General features: G+C 37.4%; 1 protein-coding gene across 10 annotated transcripts in view, besides 3 other annotated features; it reads right to left on the bottom strand.

Annotated features, from left to right (window-relative positions):
• CD109 (CD109 molecule) overlaps positions 1 to 16,107 on the bottom strand; it is a 149,122-nt gene that overhangs the window by 38,218 nt on the left and 94,797 nt on the right. For 9 of the 10 annotated variants that reach the window (XM_047418211.1, XM_047418212.1, NM_133493.5 and 6 more), the window contains 7 exons: positions 9,598 to 9,672; positions 8,777 to 8,837; positions 7,341 to 7,482; positions 6,272 to 6,389; positions 4,619 to 4,732; positions 2,644 to 2,862; positions 1,484 to 1,628 (listed from right to left, as the gene is read on the bottom strand). In XM_047418211.1, coding sequence (XP_047274167.1) covers positions 1,484 to 1,628; positions 2,644 to 2,862; positions 4,619 to 4,732; positions 6,272 to 6,389; positions 7,341 to 7,482; positions 8,777 to 8,837; positions 9,598 to 9,672 — 874 coding nt within the window. Of the gene's footprint in view, positions 1 to 1,483; positions 1,629 to 2,643; positions 2,863 to 4,618; positions 4,733 to 6,271; positions 6,390 to 7,340; positions 7,483 to 8,776; positions 8,838 to 9,597; positions 9,673 to 9,864; positions 10,035 to 16,107 lie in introns of those variants that run through there. The other variant, XM_047418217.1, reaches the window with a different exon arrangement.
• Positions 803 to 1,003: a silencer, noted in NCBI's record as "peak5903 fragment used in MPRA reporter construct". NCBI's record gives its function as "represses an SCP1 promoter by STARR-seq MPRAs in K562 erythroleukemia cells {active_cell/tissue: K562}" and the evidence as "EXISTENCE:reporter gene assay evidence [ECO:0000049][PMID:32103011]".
• Positions 15,516 to 15,810: a silencer, noted in NCBI's record as "tiled region #9272; K562 Repressive non-DNase unmatched - State 24:Quies". NCBI's record gives its function as "represses a minimal TATA promoter and a strong SV40 promoter by Sharpr-MPRA in K562 cells {active_cell/tissue: K562}" and the evidence as "EXISTENCE:reporter gene assay evidence [ECO:0000049][PMID:27701403]".
• Positions 15,516 to 15,810: an enhancer, noted in NCBI's record as "tiled region #9272; HepG2 Activating non-DNase unmatched - State 24:Quies". NCBI's record gives its function as "activates a minimal TATA promoter and a strong SV40 promoter by Sharpr-MPRA in HepG2 cells {active_cell/tissue: HepG2}" and the evidence as "EXISTENCE:reporter gene assay evidence [ECO:0000049][PMID:27701403]".

The following is a 16,107-nucleotide window of genomic DNA, read 5'->3' as shown; positions in this document are numbered from 1 at the left end:
TTTTAGCATGGTAAATATAGTTAATAACAAGAGTATTGTAAATTTCCAAATTGCTAAGAAAGGCTGAGTGCCATGGCTCACACCTGTAATCCCAGCACTTTGGGTCAGGGGTTCGAGACCAGCCTGGCCAACACTGCAAAAGCCCATCTCTACTAAAACTACAAAAACTAGCTGGGTGTGGTGGCACGTGCCTGTAATTCCAGCTACTCAGGAGGCTGAGGCAGGAGACTCGCTTGAACCCCAAGAGGCAGAGGTTGCAGTGAGCCAAGATCCTGCCACTGCACTCTAGCCTGGGAGACAGAGCAAGACTCCATCAAAGGAAAAAAAAAAAAAAAAGGCCGGGCGCGGTGGCTCACGCCTGTAATCCCAGCACTTTGGGAGGCCGAGGCGGGTGGATCATGAAGTCAGGAGATGGAGACCATCCTGGCTAACATGGTGAAACCCCATCTCTACTAAAAAATACAAAAAAAAAAAATTAGCCAGGCATGGTGGCGGGTGCCTGTAGTCCCAACTACTCGGGAGGCTGTGGCAGGAGAATGGCGTGAACCTGGGAAGCAGAGCTTGCAGTGAGCCAAGTTCGCGCCACTGCACTCCAGCCTGGGCGACAGAGCGAGACTCCGCCTCAAAAAAAAAAAATGCTCAGACAGCAAATTTCAAATGTTCTTCCCACAAAAAAAAACAGTTAAGTATTTGAGGTGATGACTACGTCAACCAGCTTGATTTAGTTATTCCACATTGCATTCATAAGCCATAATATCACTTTGTATCCCATAAATTTATACAATTATAAATTGCCAATTTTTGAAAAGTACTATTATGTTATGGAAAGTAACTAGGAGAGGCGACCGAAGTCAGTGAGTAACTTCCTACTGTAAAGGTTACTCATATCCTGCACAGAGAACTGCCCTAGGGAGGAGTACTCAACCTTTGGTTATCAGAATCACTTGTGAAAGTTTTTTAAGATATACATGACCAAGCCATAGCCCAAGTGATTCTGACTTAGTAGGTTTAGAGTAGAACCCAGATGTTTCTGTATTTACAGAGCTCCTTAGAAGATTCTGATATTCACCAGTGGTGGAGAGCCACAGAAGCCAGAAGCTCTGCTCTTAGGAATGAACCCTCCCTCCAGCCACAGTATAGTGAGGCCTTGCTACTCAAAGTGTGGTCTACAAGCCAGAGTATCACCAACACCTAGGAGCTTGTTAGAAAAGCAGATTCCCAGGCCCCACTCCAGACCTACTAAACCAGAATTTGCTTTTAAACAAGACTCCCAGGTGATTCTTATGCACATTGAAGATTGAGAACAGTTTTAGGATACATAATTTGCTAGCCTTCATATTATAATGAGTTGTTGGGCCCAATTAAAAACTTTTGCCATCTCTTCTTATTAGGACTCAATAAGAAAATACATCTATAATTACAAGAACAACATATATGATCATATACAATTAAACCAATAGATGGTGATATACTCTATTCTTACCAATTGCAGTGATCTGAACTCTTTCACTGCCAGTCACTGTATTAGGAGGAAATGAGAAACTCAAAGTTTTCAGGGTACTCTGTAGCCTATTGTCAGTCAAGTCTAATAAGATGGATTGTGAATATGATTTTTCTATTCCTTCAGCCTGTTGAAAAAAATGAACACAATTAACATGGTCTCTACTCACATGTTTACAGAGAACTATACGCAGATATGAGCACAAACATCTGACCTGTTGTGTCTGAGGTTTGTGTGTGGCTAAATAGGCACCTATCATTTCTTATTTTGTTTTCTTTAAATTAGATATTTTATTTAAACAAGTAATACATTCATTTCACAGAATGAGTTTTTCTTGTTAGTCTGTATTACAAAAAATTACCATAACTTTGATTAATTTTTCCTTTTAGATTTTCTCACTAAGTACAGTACCCTTCATTAACTGAAACGTGTTTTTCACAGGATTTACACTTAATAGGCACCATTTCCATGGAAATGAATTAAATCTGATGACACAGCGCGTACCATTTTGTTATTCTTACTTCAAATCTGTTAGTAAGTTCTAGTTAAATTAGATAAGGCATCTCATGGACTGGCCTTGAAAATGACAAAGAAGAAGATGAAAATGTAAGGAAAAAAACCCTTTGAGGTAGTTCCTATTATTATCCAAAGAGGGGGAGATTAAATGCCTTGTTCAAAATCACACTTGGCAGAGCTGAGATTCAAACACAGGGTTGCCTCACCCCAGAATACAAGTGTTTATCCACTATGCTCATTATCTTTCTGTCTAGAATGTCTTCTCTGAAAAAAATCTACAAAATCTCTTTTACCTTCACTGAAAAATTCCAAAATTCCAAATCTACAAATCGACTTGGCCGTGTTTTAATAGGATCCCAACGTAACACAGTCTGTAGATGTAAATGACTGCAAAAGAGACGTTAGTCTTTATAGTCACATTCCTGACTAAATTTAAAGAGGAAATTGGCAATTATTTCTAAATGATTTATTTTTACATACAGATTAGAAAGTGATTAGGCATTACCAGAAGGGTAAAGAAGATGACCTACTAGATATGCCAACAAATTTAACCAAGAGAAAAAACCTTCTGCTTCCTTTTTAATTACGTATTTCCATTTCACTTCTTTCAGACATCAAATATTTACCTTTACTAAAATCATCTGGGTGACAGCATCAGAAGCAGTGGGTGAAAGAGCTGTGACTGTGATAGGAATTTCTCCCAGATGTGTTGGCCTGATGGGAAAAAGAACAGTTGCCCCATCCTCACTGGGAACCAGAAGGGTCTGCTGGTGGCCTGTGGCATTTATTTCATTTGAAGTCATTAGAATATCAAATTTGTCACTTTTCTCAATGATTACCTTAACCTGAAAGAAAAAAATAAATCAAAGCTTTTGTATAATAGATGCTCTTCAGTAAAGTGCTCTTTTATCACCAGTTTAAGTACTGTCAAATCTGTGAGGCTCAAGACTAGCGAAAAGATGAGACAAAGATTCGACCAAGGAGAGTATCAAAGAGTATCAGGAAAAACTTCATTTCTTTTCTATGCTTTCCCCTCAACCTCAAGATACATGGGGAAAGGGCGATCTTCAGCCCCATTTCTAGTCCTCCCACTAACTTTAAATTCTCTCACTATCTGAAGCCATTAGATGGTAAGGATGTGCACAGAAAGGCTATTTCATATATTGATATTACTACTAGCTTGATTTAACTATGTCATCCTGGAACATACTGGTCTCATTAGAAAAATTTGAAGAAAACAGCATGAAATGTTATTGAATTTATTGAAGTCTCTGTAAAAAATTATTCCAAGGAAAGTACAACTCAGATATTAGTCCTGAAGCATATCTTGGTTGTAAACTTTTGTAAATTATCCCAAAGTTGCAAGTCTCATCAATAATAGCATTTATCTAGGCCTTAAATTTTACGAATTATTTTCCCATTGATGTTTTCATCTGCTTCTCAAGGTATCTTTTGTGGGTGTAATAATTATCATTTCCATTTTACAGATGAGGAAACTACAATTAAGTCATTTGCTGGTAAGTGGTAGATTAAACATTGAATCCAGGCCTTTAGACTCTAGATCTTTTGCTTGTTACATGGTACCATGATAACTGGGTTAAAAAGTAAAATTAAAAAATTAAAAAAATTTACTTCCCACTTTGTCAGCCAAATATGCCAATAAAAAGCTTAAAAAATTAAAATTTAAATTAAAAAAAATTATATATAAAGTGCCTAAAGATATCATGTCATTTTCATCCATGTAATAAAGTTAATTACGTATCTCTACTTATTCTGGGGGAAGAAAAATCAGTCACTTGGTTAACATACTGTGGGCACAACACAAACAGTGAACCTAATTCCTGCCTCCCAGGGAAATGACTAGCTAAGGAGATACAAGGTACGTGAATCCAATAGTGAATCCTTGAAAATATAAACATGGGGGCTACAAACATAACAGAATGGCAGTCGGGTGCAGTGGCTCATGCCTGTAATGCCAGTACTTTGGGAGGCCAAGGCAGGCAGATCACTTGATCAAGACCCGCCTGGCCAACATGGCAACACTCTGTCTCTATGAAAAACACAAAAATTAGCTGGGCGTGGTGGTGCACCCTTGTAATCCCAGCTACTCGGAGGCTGAGGCAGGAGAATCACTTGAACCTGTGAGGTGGAAGTTGCAGTGAGCCGAGATCACGCCACTGCACTCCAGCCTGGGCAACAGAGCAAGACCATGTCTCAAAAAAAAAAAAAAAACAAAACTGCAGTGGGCACAGAGTGGCAGTGAGAAGTGGCCACACATTCTAGATGTGGGGAAAACCAGGGGAAAATGCAGGGAGGCAGGAAAGAGAAAGGCATGCTTCAGAGACAATAAGGAACTTACATGGCAAAAGAGGAAAACCTATGCTGAAAATTCAAGGAGGTAATGTGTAGACATGCTAATGATATCCTTAGACATTAATTAGCAGAAGAAATCACTGACAAGACATGTCTATTTTCAGCCTCCCAGAAATGTATAAAGTGCTTAGAATCCCAAATGCCCAGATACTACACAACCCAATCCCTTCATGCTACCTCGATTTTCTCCTGTAGTGTAAATGATCAACAAAAGCTTGAATACATTACCTCAGTGGCATCTTTCAAATAATTGAATATAGTTATTTCCAAAGCAAATTCTTCACCTCTGATAACAGAGTAGGGAAGATTCAAAAAAATGAAAAATGGTTGGAAGGCTTGGAGCTGGAAAGAACACAACGAGTACATATTTTTATTCAGGTCAAAATTCTTCACATTTTATGCAATTAAATGCAATCTTTATAAAACCTGTGAAGCTTTTAACTTCAGCTAGAAATGTCAACTTGCTATCAACAGAAAGCAAACAGCAACTTATCACAAATGAATGACGGCAAATTGACTTGATTTATGTTACTTAACATAATAATTGCTATACTTTATTAAGTGCCTTATAGCAACCAAACACTTCACATAAATTATTTTGTTTGGTTATTACAACCCCATAAGGTTACTGTTAGTCTCCTAGTTTATAGAAAAGAAAATTAAATTTTTGAGATTTTTGTAACTAGTACAAATTCATATTGCTGGCAAGTAGAGGAGCCAGAACTAGAACCCAGCCTGTCTAATCCCGAAGCAATTTGCTCTTCTTTCATGCTGTATTGACTCCACCAATCTGCTTTAAAAGCCCTGCCAAATCCAACAGCCCCTGTTCTAGTGTGGGACATCTGAATACATGTGCTTCCTGACTAAATTTAAAGAGGAAATTGGAAATTATTTCTAAAACATATATATGATTTATTTTTACATACAGATGAGAAAATGTGTGGGACATCTGAATACATGTGCTTCCTCCTCAGTGACCCAATTCTGATATTGTTGGCCAAGTCCTACAGAAAAGGCCAAGCCCCACACCTGCATCTAAAGCTAAACCTGGGTTAGTTTAGGCCAGTGGTTTTGCTGGCAGCAGTAACTCCCTCTAGAGTTTATCTGCACATTTGTGAAGGTGTCTTAGATTGTCACCATGACTCGAAGGTGCTATAGGTAGTTAGTGGGTGACAGTCTGCAATACTCAGGACAGCCCCAGACAATGAAAAATTGCCCCATGTTCCTAATGATTCTTGAATGTCCCTTCAGACATTCATGTTGCTGAATTGTCTGTTTATAGTGGCCTGAGCTTACAATCTAATTCCAATTTCTATATAAACCCAAAGCATTTTTCAATCTACACTGTATTTTTCATGAATACGATTATTTTGTAAATCAAAATTACATTTCAATTTCAAATGAGAAAATTCAGGCCACTCATGGTCATTATATTCCTCCTGCCAGTGACTGGCTTAGGAAACAATATATGATGCAATTTGACCAAAAGACATGATGGAATATTGGCTAGGGAACATCTTGAGAAGTTCTGTTCATTCTTGAAGAGGACAAATAGAAAGACTCACTCTCTCTCTCCTCTCCTCTTTCTCTCTCTCTCTTTTTCTTTCTCTCTCTTCTGGCCTTTGGAGATGGTTAGTTCAGGTCAATAATAAACTTTTCTACCCAAATCTTAATACGGACTTTGCACATTTAGCAGTTTATATAGCTATATATAGCTCACATTCTTAAATATAAAACAGATAAAAACCAAAAGACAAAGCCAAGGAATCTCTAAACTGTGATAAACATTATAAGCAGTCATTTAAAAAAAAAATTGAGGAGCTGACGCTGTATTAGCTTAATGTCACCGTAATACTGATAAGCAGCTCTTTAATACAATACCTCCACTGGAGTAGTTGTTAGTCCAAGACCCAGGTCCTCAGAGATCACAAAACCAGTAGCCACCCAAGAAGTGATAGAATCAGGTACAGTTACTTCAAATTCTTGGTAAATCCTGTAACTGAAGTCAAGATAATAAATATAAACATCACAAAACCAAGAACTGATACATTTTGAAATAAGCCAAAATAATCTAAACTATTTTTGGAAGAATTTCAATTTTTCCTATTGTTTACATATCTGAATTTAAAACCATTTAAAAGGTTTAAGTATAAAACAGTAAATCCCAACTTTTCAAAGAATAGGTCATCATAAGGTCATAATACTGCATATTGATCCATATTCTAATAAAATCTTCCTGCAAAATTTACATCTTCAGAATAAACATTATTTTTTCACAAATTTTTTATAGATAATAAATACACATTTTCAAACTTAACTCCAATTTTTTCTCTAAATTTGCAGAAGTTTTTCTCTGTATCCCTGTCAATGCTGTTATTTGTTTCCTTGAGATTTCACTCATGTGTTAACTCAAGTATCTTTAAACAGCTGACTATAAAATACTATGTGGATTTCATGATTTACCTGCTCAATTATCAGGCCAGGTGGTACGGGGTTTATCAGCCAAGCTGAATTCTTTCCACCACCCATGCCCCTTCTCCCTGTGACTCCTGGGAATGCTTTGTGAGGAGCAGGGTTCAGTTAGCAGCACTGCCAGGGGTCACAGGAGGTAATCATGAGTGCTTCCCATCCTGTGACAACAAATGTACTCCCAGCAATTTTTCTTCAACAAGAATCATGAGACTTCAAGGAAGTCAAAATCACCCTTCAGTTAAAAAAAAAAAAAAAGGCCTATCTTCTCATTGATGAGACCTTCCTGCCATAATTTATGTGTGGCTTTATCAAAAACTGTATTTAGATTCAATAAATATCATTTCCTAAAAAATCCTTTTGGTCTACTTAGTTCTTAGTTACACTATGTTTGTACTTAAACATTAGAAAGCGGGCAAAGCTTATTTAAAACAAACACTAAACAAAATATGTATGGGCAAAGAACTTTATAAATTTTTACCCCATGTTGGTGTCTAGCCAAATCCAAGTCTCTGGAAAATGCTTTCGGACATGTGGACTGCTACCCAAAGAAAAGTCATGAATATCTACAATATGTCCTTCATTTTCCTCCATAAACCTCTCAGCATATTCTGCATTGTCATCTATAAATAAACATTGACAGTAGTTAGAAAAACAGTCACTGGAGAGAATGAATTGTAAACTCCACATACAAAATGAATGTCAATCACTTGAGGTGTCCAGAGACATAATGTGCCAGTGAGAGTATCAGGTTCCTTCTGTTACAGTGAAAAGGTAGAAGAAGGTTTTCAGAAAAGGTAAAGGATACAGTAAGTATTACTGGCAATAGAATGGGTATTACAGTGGGCATCAAGAAGGATTCAATATGTAAAAAAGAACAAAGATGGGTAAAAACTGAGACTGAAAAATGGAAAAACATGCTTGGAAGATTGTCTAGGATAGAGGGTTATATGAGGAAAGCTAAATGTACCACATGTCTTTAATGTAGAGAGATCATAATGACTTCATAACATCTTCAAGACTATAAAATTATCTTTTAAGTTTCAGGACAGAGGATCAGGTGTCCTGTTGGGGCAAGAACCAGCCCAAAGAGACCCGGGGGCTTAGCATGGAATAACAGAATACCTGACAGAAACAGGGAATTCAGGGATAGAAACTGTGACAGTTCTAGAAGCCTTTCAAGATGATGTTAGTATAACTTAACCTGAAAGAAAAGAGAATCCCTTCTAAGGTTAACCATTCTAATTTATACATTTATACATTTCCTTCAGTCAAAACATTTTATGACGTCTTTCTAAAAGCACACTTATTATTACTTGGCAGCCAACTCTATTTGGCAATTCAAGAAACTAGGATGTACAGATATAATCCTGCCCAGGAAGAACTCAGATTGATGAGGGGTGTGTGTGTGTGTGTGTGTCTGCGTGTGTGTCTATGTCTCTGTGTGTGTGTGTGTGTCTGTGTCTGTGTGTGTGTGTGTGTGTGTGTACCAGAATACTTTATGGCATGATGGCATCTGGGCTATTTTCTAGGTGAACATCAAAAAGCTGGAGTACAAAAATATTTCAAAAATATGTTGCTCCTTTTAAATAATTCCAAAAGAATAGGACAGTTTGTGATACAAATCAGAAGAAAAGCAGCTTCCAGTATGTCCAAAAATATAACTACCTCAAAGAATTACCTAGAGAAAAAGGAAAGCATTCACTTCAAATATCTAGACAGGAGCTCAGATGAACGTTCCATGTCATGGCCCAGATGTACTTCTAAGTACATTAAACTCCAAACATTTTGGGAGAAGAGAACAAAAAAATGAAAATCACAATCTCTATGTTCATCTAAAAAATATCCATACCTATATAAGTAATGTTGAATATCATGTGAAAGACAAATACAAGCATGTCGCCATGTATTACTTACAAACACCATCAATATAATCCTTCGTGAGGTTTGCATCTGTCAATACCCAGAGTCCACATTCCTAAAAAGAATAATTTTTATTTTCTTTTAAAACACAAGTTTAAATGCTCACTAAATTATCAAGGCAGTCTCCCAAACTCCTGACTCACTTGTGCTCATTTTTGAGAGCTTAGGTATACACATGCACATACATTCAACCTTTCTGTCTCTCACTCAAACACACACACACACGCACACACACATCAACCTTTCTCACTCAAACACACACACGCACATGCCCATCGATCTTTCTCACTCAAACACACACACACACGCATACACATATCGATCTCTCTCAAACACACACACGCACATACACATTGATCTTTCTCAAACACACATACACACATCAGTCTTACACACACACACATACACACACACACTCATGCATAAGAGCCATTTCAAAGTCAAGGAAATATATATAAAATATATTTATATATTATATATATACATAAAATATATTTATATATTATATATATACATAAAATATATTTATATATTATATATATACATAAAATATATTTATATGGAAATACATATACATAAAGGAAAAATTATTTGTTTAATGTCAATTCCATTAACTTTTCCAATGGTGAATTGTTCCATTTGCTTTTAAAACTGGAAAGATGATTATCTTTTCATTTCAAATTATACTTACATAAGACTGCGCTTCAGTGACACATTTAATAAAAGGTTAACATCTCAAAATGATCACTAATTCTGAAAGGGTTTGCAATAGTAAAAAATATTAATATCTTTTCAATATAGCAAGCAAAACATACCTGAAAGACTGCAAAAGAATTCATGAACATGCCTAAATAATATCCTGTGTTATAAAGTTCCAACTCATGGACCACCTAAGGAGAAGATAAAATATACGGAATGAATGGATTCATAACAACTTTCCACACTTCTTCCAAGTAACTTAGATAAGACTTAGCCTTCATGTTTATCAACTTTGAAAATGACACAAATTGAGGAGTAATGAATATGTAATTGCTTTGTTCATCAGTCAGTCAGCCAAAATTACATTTCTTACTTATACTTACTTTTACTCTGTTCAGCAATCCAGAGTTCCTAAGAAGTCTGGACTTGAGTTCTGCCAGGGAGAACTTAGATGTTACTGTTTGACAAGACCAACAGGCAGAGGTCAGCATTAAAAATGACCCACACTTTTGGCAGAGATAAACAGGTTAACTTTGTTGGAGATTAATATAAACTCTGCAAAATGTCAGTGACCTAAATTTACAAAAAAAAAAAAAAACTGAAGAGGCAATTTACAAAAGTAGAAATATAAGTTATTAATAAGCAGAAAAATATTCAGCCTCACTGATAATCAAAGCAATGCAAATGACAACATCCATGAGATACGGTTTTTTCAAAAATGAGATATTTGCATGTACCCCATTAGCAATGCTTTTTTTTTTAAGAATAGTACTCATTGCTAGCAAGAGTGGGTAAAACAGGCTAAAAGAGTAAAACTGTCAGATCCTCAAAAAATTAACATAGAATTAGAATATGACCCAGTAATTCCACTCCTAGGTATATACACAAAAGGACTGAAAACAGTAACTCCAAGAGATACTTGTATGCCACCGTTCATTGCAGCAATAGTTACAGTAGCCAAAAAGGTGGAAACAACCTGTGTCCATCAGCAGAAAAATGGATAAACAAAATGTGGTATATATACACAACACAATATTATTCAGCCGTAAAAAGAAATGAAGCTCTGAGGCTAGGTGCGGTGGCTCACACCTGTAATCCCAGCACTTTGGGAGGCCGAGGCGGGCGGATCATGAGGTCAGGAGTTTGAGACCAGCCTGGCCAACATAGTGAAACCCCGTCTCTACTAAAAATACAAAAAATTAGCTGGGCGTAGTGGTGGGCGCCTGTAGTCCCAACTACTCGGGAGGCTGAGGAAGGAGAATGGTTTGAACCCGGGAGGCGGAGGTTGCAGTGAGCCAAGATCGCGCTATTGCACTCCAGCCTGGGTAACAGAGCAAGACTCCGTCTCAAAAAAAAAAAAAGAAATGAAGCTCTGATACATGCTACAACATGGAATAATCTTGAAAACACTGTGCTAAGTGAAATAAGCCAGACACAAAAGGGCAAATATTATATAAATGTGAAATATCTAGAATAGGTAAATTCATAAAGACAGAAGTAGACTAGAGGTTCCCAAGGGCTGTGGGGAAGGGGAAATGAGTAGTTATTGCTTAATGATTACAGAGTCTCTGTCTGGAGCCATGAAAATGTTTTGGAAATATTGGTGATGGTCATATAACATTGTGAAGTAATTAATGTCACTGAATTAAACACTTAAAATGGTAAAAATAGCAAATTTTATTTTATATATATTTAACTTCAATAAAAATCAAGTATTATACCTTTTTAGGTAATAATTTTGATACTTCTCCCTAAAAATTTACATTAACCAGACAAATTAAGACAAAGTCAGAATTAAAAATCACAAAAAAAACTAAGTTGAAAAAAACACATTCCAGCATAAAATTAAACACCTGCAACCACTATTTCTGCAATGCTAACAACAACCATGGCTGCATCCACAGTAAGCAACTAGAACAGGCACCAATAAGAAAACAATAAAATAAGAAAAAAAATTCATAATGTGTCAAGAAGCTGGCAAGTAGACAAGGGAGCCAGAGCCAGGCATATTGGAGAGAAAAGGCTAGAGTTCCATGACTCCAACTCTGTCACAAAATACAAATACATGAAGATTTGCTTCCGCTCTTGCTCAGACACCAATTCAAGAAGCAGCATCTAAACAGTGGTTATCAGCACAAGACAAGAATGCCCTCTCTCACCGCTCCTATTCAACATAGTACTAGAAGTTCTGGCCAGGGCAATCAGGCAAAAGAAAGAAAGAAAAAATGAAACAAAGGGCATCCAAATAGGAAGAGAGGAAGTCAAACTATCCCTGTTTGCAGATGACATAATCCTATATCTAGAAAACCCCATAGTCTCAGCCCAAAAGTTTCTTAAACCGATAAACAACTTCAGGAAAGCCTCGATGTGTGAAAATCACTAGCATTCCTATACACCAACAACACACAGCAGAGAGCCAAATCAGAAATAAACTCCCATTCACAACTGCCACAGAAAGATAAAATACTTAAGAACACAGCTAACTAGGGAGGTAAAAGATCTCTACAAGGAGAACTACAAACCACTGCTCAAAGAAATCATAGATGAACAAACCAATGGGAAAACATCCCATGCTCATGGATAGGAAGAATCAATATTGTTAAAATGGCCATACTGCCCAAAGCAATTTATGTATTCAATGCTATTCCTATTAAACTACTACATTCTTCACAGAACGAGAGAAAACTATTTTAAAATTCATATGGAACCAAAAAAGAGCTCGTATAGCCAAGACAATCCTAAGCAAAAAGAACAAAGCTGGAGGCATCATGCTACCAGAGTTCAAACTGTACTACAAGGCTATAGTAACCAAAACAGCATGGTACTCACACAAAAACAGACACATAGACCAATGGAACAGAATAGAGAACCCAGAAATAAGACTGCACATCTACAACTATCTGATCTTCAACAAATCTGACAAAAACAAGCAATGGGGAAAGGATTTCCTATTCAATAAATGGTGCTGGGAGAGCTGGCTAGCCATATGCAGAAGACTGAAACTGGACCCCTTCCTTACATCATATACAAAAATTAACGCAAGATGGATTAAAAACTTAAATGTAAAACCCAAAACTATAAAAACCCTGGAAGACAACCTAGGCAATACCATTCAGGACATAGGAACAGCCAAAGATTTCAAAAGCAATTGCAACAAAAGCAAAAATTGACAAATGGGATCAAATTAAATGAAAGAGATCTGCACAGTGAAAGAAACTATCAACACAGTAAACAACCTACAAAATGGGAGAAAATTTTTGCAAACTGTGCATCTGACAAAGATCTAATATCCAGCATCTATAAGGAACTTAAACAAATTTACAAGAAAAAAAAAATTTTTTTAAGCCAGCAAAGGGGCCAGGCACAGTGGCTCATGCCTCTAATCCCAGCACTTTGGGAGGCCAAGGTAGGCAGATCACCTGAGATCAAGAGTTTTCAAGACCAGGCTGACCAACATGAAGAAACCCCATCTCTACTAAAAAATACAAAATTAGCAAGCATGGTGGCACATGCCTGTAATTCCAGCTACTTGGGAGGCTGAGGCAGGAGAATCACTTGAACCCGGGAGGTGGAGGTTGCAGCGTGGGCAACAAGGGGGAAACTCCATCTCAAAAAAAAAAAAAAAAAAAATGGGCAAAGGATATGAACAGACACTTTTCAAAAGAAGTCATACATGCATACATGAGGCCTACAATCATATGAGAAAAAGCTCAACATCACTGATCATTAGAGAAATGCAAATCAGAACCATAAGGAGGCCACCAGGCACAGTGCTCACATCTGTAACCCCAGCACTTTGGGAGGCCAAAGCAGGAGGATCACTTGAGATCAGGAGTTTGAAACCAGCCTGTCCAACATGGTGAAACCCTGTCTCTATTAAAATACAAAAATCAGCTGGGTATGGTGGCTCACGCCTGTAATCCCAGCTACTTGGGAGGCTGAGGCAGGAGAATCGCTTGAACCCAGAAGGTGAAGGTTGCAGTGAGCCAAGATCACATCACTGCACTCCAGCCTGGGTGACAGATCAAGGCTCTGTCAAAAAAAAAAAAAAAAAAAAAAAAGGCCACTTGCGTGGTGGCTCACGCCTGCAATCCCAGCACTTTAGGAGGCCAAGGGAGATGGATCACAAGGTCAGGAGTTTGAGACCAGCCAGGCCAATATGGTGAAACCCCTTCTCTACTAAAAAAGTTTAAAAATTAGCCAGGCGTGGAGGCGACACCTGTAGTCCCAGCTACTCGGGAGGCTGAGGCAGGAGAATTACTTGAACCTGGGAGGCAGAGGTTGCAGTGAGCCGAGATCACACCACCGCACTCCAGCCTGAGCAACAGAGTGAGACTTTGTCTCAAAAAAATAAAATAAAATAAAAACACACAATGAGATACCATCTCACACCAGTCAGAATGGATAGCTATCATTTAAAAGTCAAAAAAATAACAGATGCTGGAGAGGTTGTAGAGAAAAGGAACACTTATACACTGTCGGTAGGAGTGTTAATTAATTCAGCCATTGTACAAGACAATGTGACAATTCCTCAAAGACTTAAGACAGAAACACCATTTCAATACTAGCAATCCCATTATTGGGTATATATCCAAAGGAATATAAATAATTCTATTATAAAGATGTATGCATGCATATGTTCATTGCAGCACTATTCACAAAAGCAAAGACATGGAATCAAACTAAATGTCCGTCAATGATAGACTGGATAAAGAAAATGTGGTACATGTACACCATGGAATACTAGGCAGCCATAAAGAACAAGATCATCTCCTTTGCAGGTACATGGATGGAGCTGGAGGTCATTATCCTTAGCAAACTAACTCAGGAACAGAAAACCAAATACCACATGTTCTCACTTATAAGTGGGAGTTAAATGATGAGAACACATGGACACATAGAGAGGAACAACACACAGTAGAGATTGTCAGAGGGTGGAGGGTGGGAGCAGGGAGAGGATCATGAAAAATAACTAATGGGTACTGGACTTCATACCTGAGTAATGAAATAATCTGTACAACAAACCCCTATGACACAAGGTTGCCTATGTAACAAACCTGCACATGTATCCCTGAACTTAAAAGTTTAAATAAATAAATAGATAAACAAATGATGGTTACAGGGGCGAGGGGGAAAGGAAGAAGAAAATGGGAATATAGAGGTCAAGGGATACAAAATAGCAGATATGTGGGATGAAAAAATGCAGTTATATAATCTACAACATGAGAGATATAGTTAATAGAATTGTATGATATTTGGAGTTTTCATTAAATCGATTTTAACTGCTTTTGTCACAAAAATGTAGCTATGCAAAATGATAAATATGTAAATTTGCTTCACTACAGTAACCACTATACTGCCTATATGTATTCCATAACCTCATGTATACACAATAACCTCATATATACATATATACATATATATATATACACATAACCTCAAATATACACAATAAAATTTATTTTAAAAAAAGCAAAAGCAGCATCTATCTCATAAAGAAATCTTCCTGTTCTCACTGGCTCAATAAACAAAGCACTGTCAAAGCTGCAGCATAGGCTAACGAAAAGAAGGCTAATGTCTAAAAATTATTCCTGGAAGATCCACATACTGAAATTATTCCAAGGCATTCAAGAGGCTATTGACAACACATATAAATTTAACAAAAAAAAAAAAGAAGCCAAAACAGTCTACTATGACAGGATCCTCACTCCCTCCTCCAGAACCAACTGGAGAAACAATAAAAGCAAGCAGAAAACTTTAACGTGCACAGTGAGAAAACCCCAGGAAGAGTGGTGGACATCTTGAATTGGTCTTGGGAGAAAGTGCATCGCTTCAGTCTAAGGCAGAAGGCAGCTAGACACAGCAGCAGACATAGTCAGAAAACAGGCTGGAGGAGAGGTTTTTAAACTTTGCTCTTATTTCCCTCCAGGGGGTAGCCTCAGGACACACAGTCCTGGCAACTTCACTGCCAAAATCAACAGCAGTAGCAGCTCAGACGGCCTGTGCAAGTATCCAAAAGATAATACCAGGTCAGCACCTCTGCCTTTCTAGTGTGGGAAAGTGAAGAAAACATGCAGACAGACCCATGTCCCTCAAGCATTCACTCTTCCTCTCCTCCTCCTCCAAACCCTCAGGGCTGGTGAATCATAACCTCAGGAGACCTTCTCTTACTGGTGCTCTTTTCCCCAAGGGTTTAAGAGTGAAACACTGAATAGAGGCAAGCAGCAGAAAGGATCAAGAGTAATTCTCTAGTCCATGAGGCTAGTCCTCTCCCCTCAGGAAGGGGTCATAGGACTTACACAGATTGGAACCTTATGCTCAGCCTTCACCAATAGATATTATCAGAGAATCTGCCAAATCAGCTAGACTTCCAAAGAGTATAAATACTGTAGAAGTAAGACATCCAACTAAACAACATATAGCATGTGACACAAAATTACTGAAAAGTTCAATTCAATAATTTAAAATACGCATAGCAAATATACACAAGGAGATAATGGGAAATATCAGAATATAAAACAAAAACAAGAAACAAAGGAAAAATAATAGATATTAAAAACATAATAGCTGACATAAAAGACACAATATGAGAGATTAAAGTAGATTAAAATACAGCTAATGAATGA

Source organism: Homo sapiens, chromosome 6 (genome assembly GCF_000001405.40).
Source record: "Homo sapiens chromosome 6, GRCh38.p14 Primary Assembly".
NCBI lineage: Eukaryota > Metazoa > Chordata > Mammalia > Primates > Hominidae > Homo > Homo sapiens.
The sequence above is the reverse complement of the archived record's forward strand: the minus strand, read 5'-3'. Positions and strand labels throughout refer to the sequence as shown.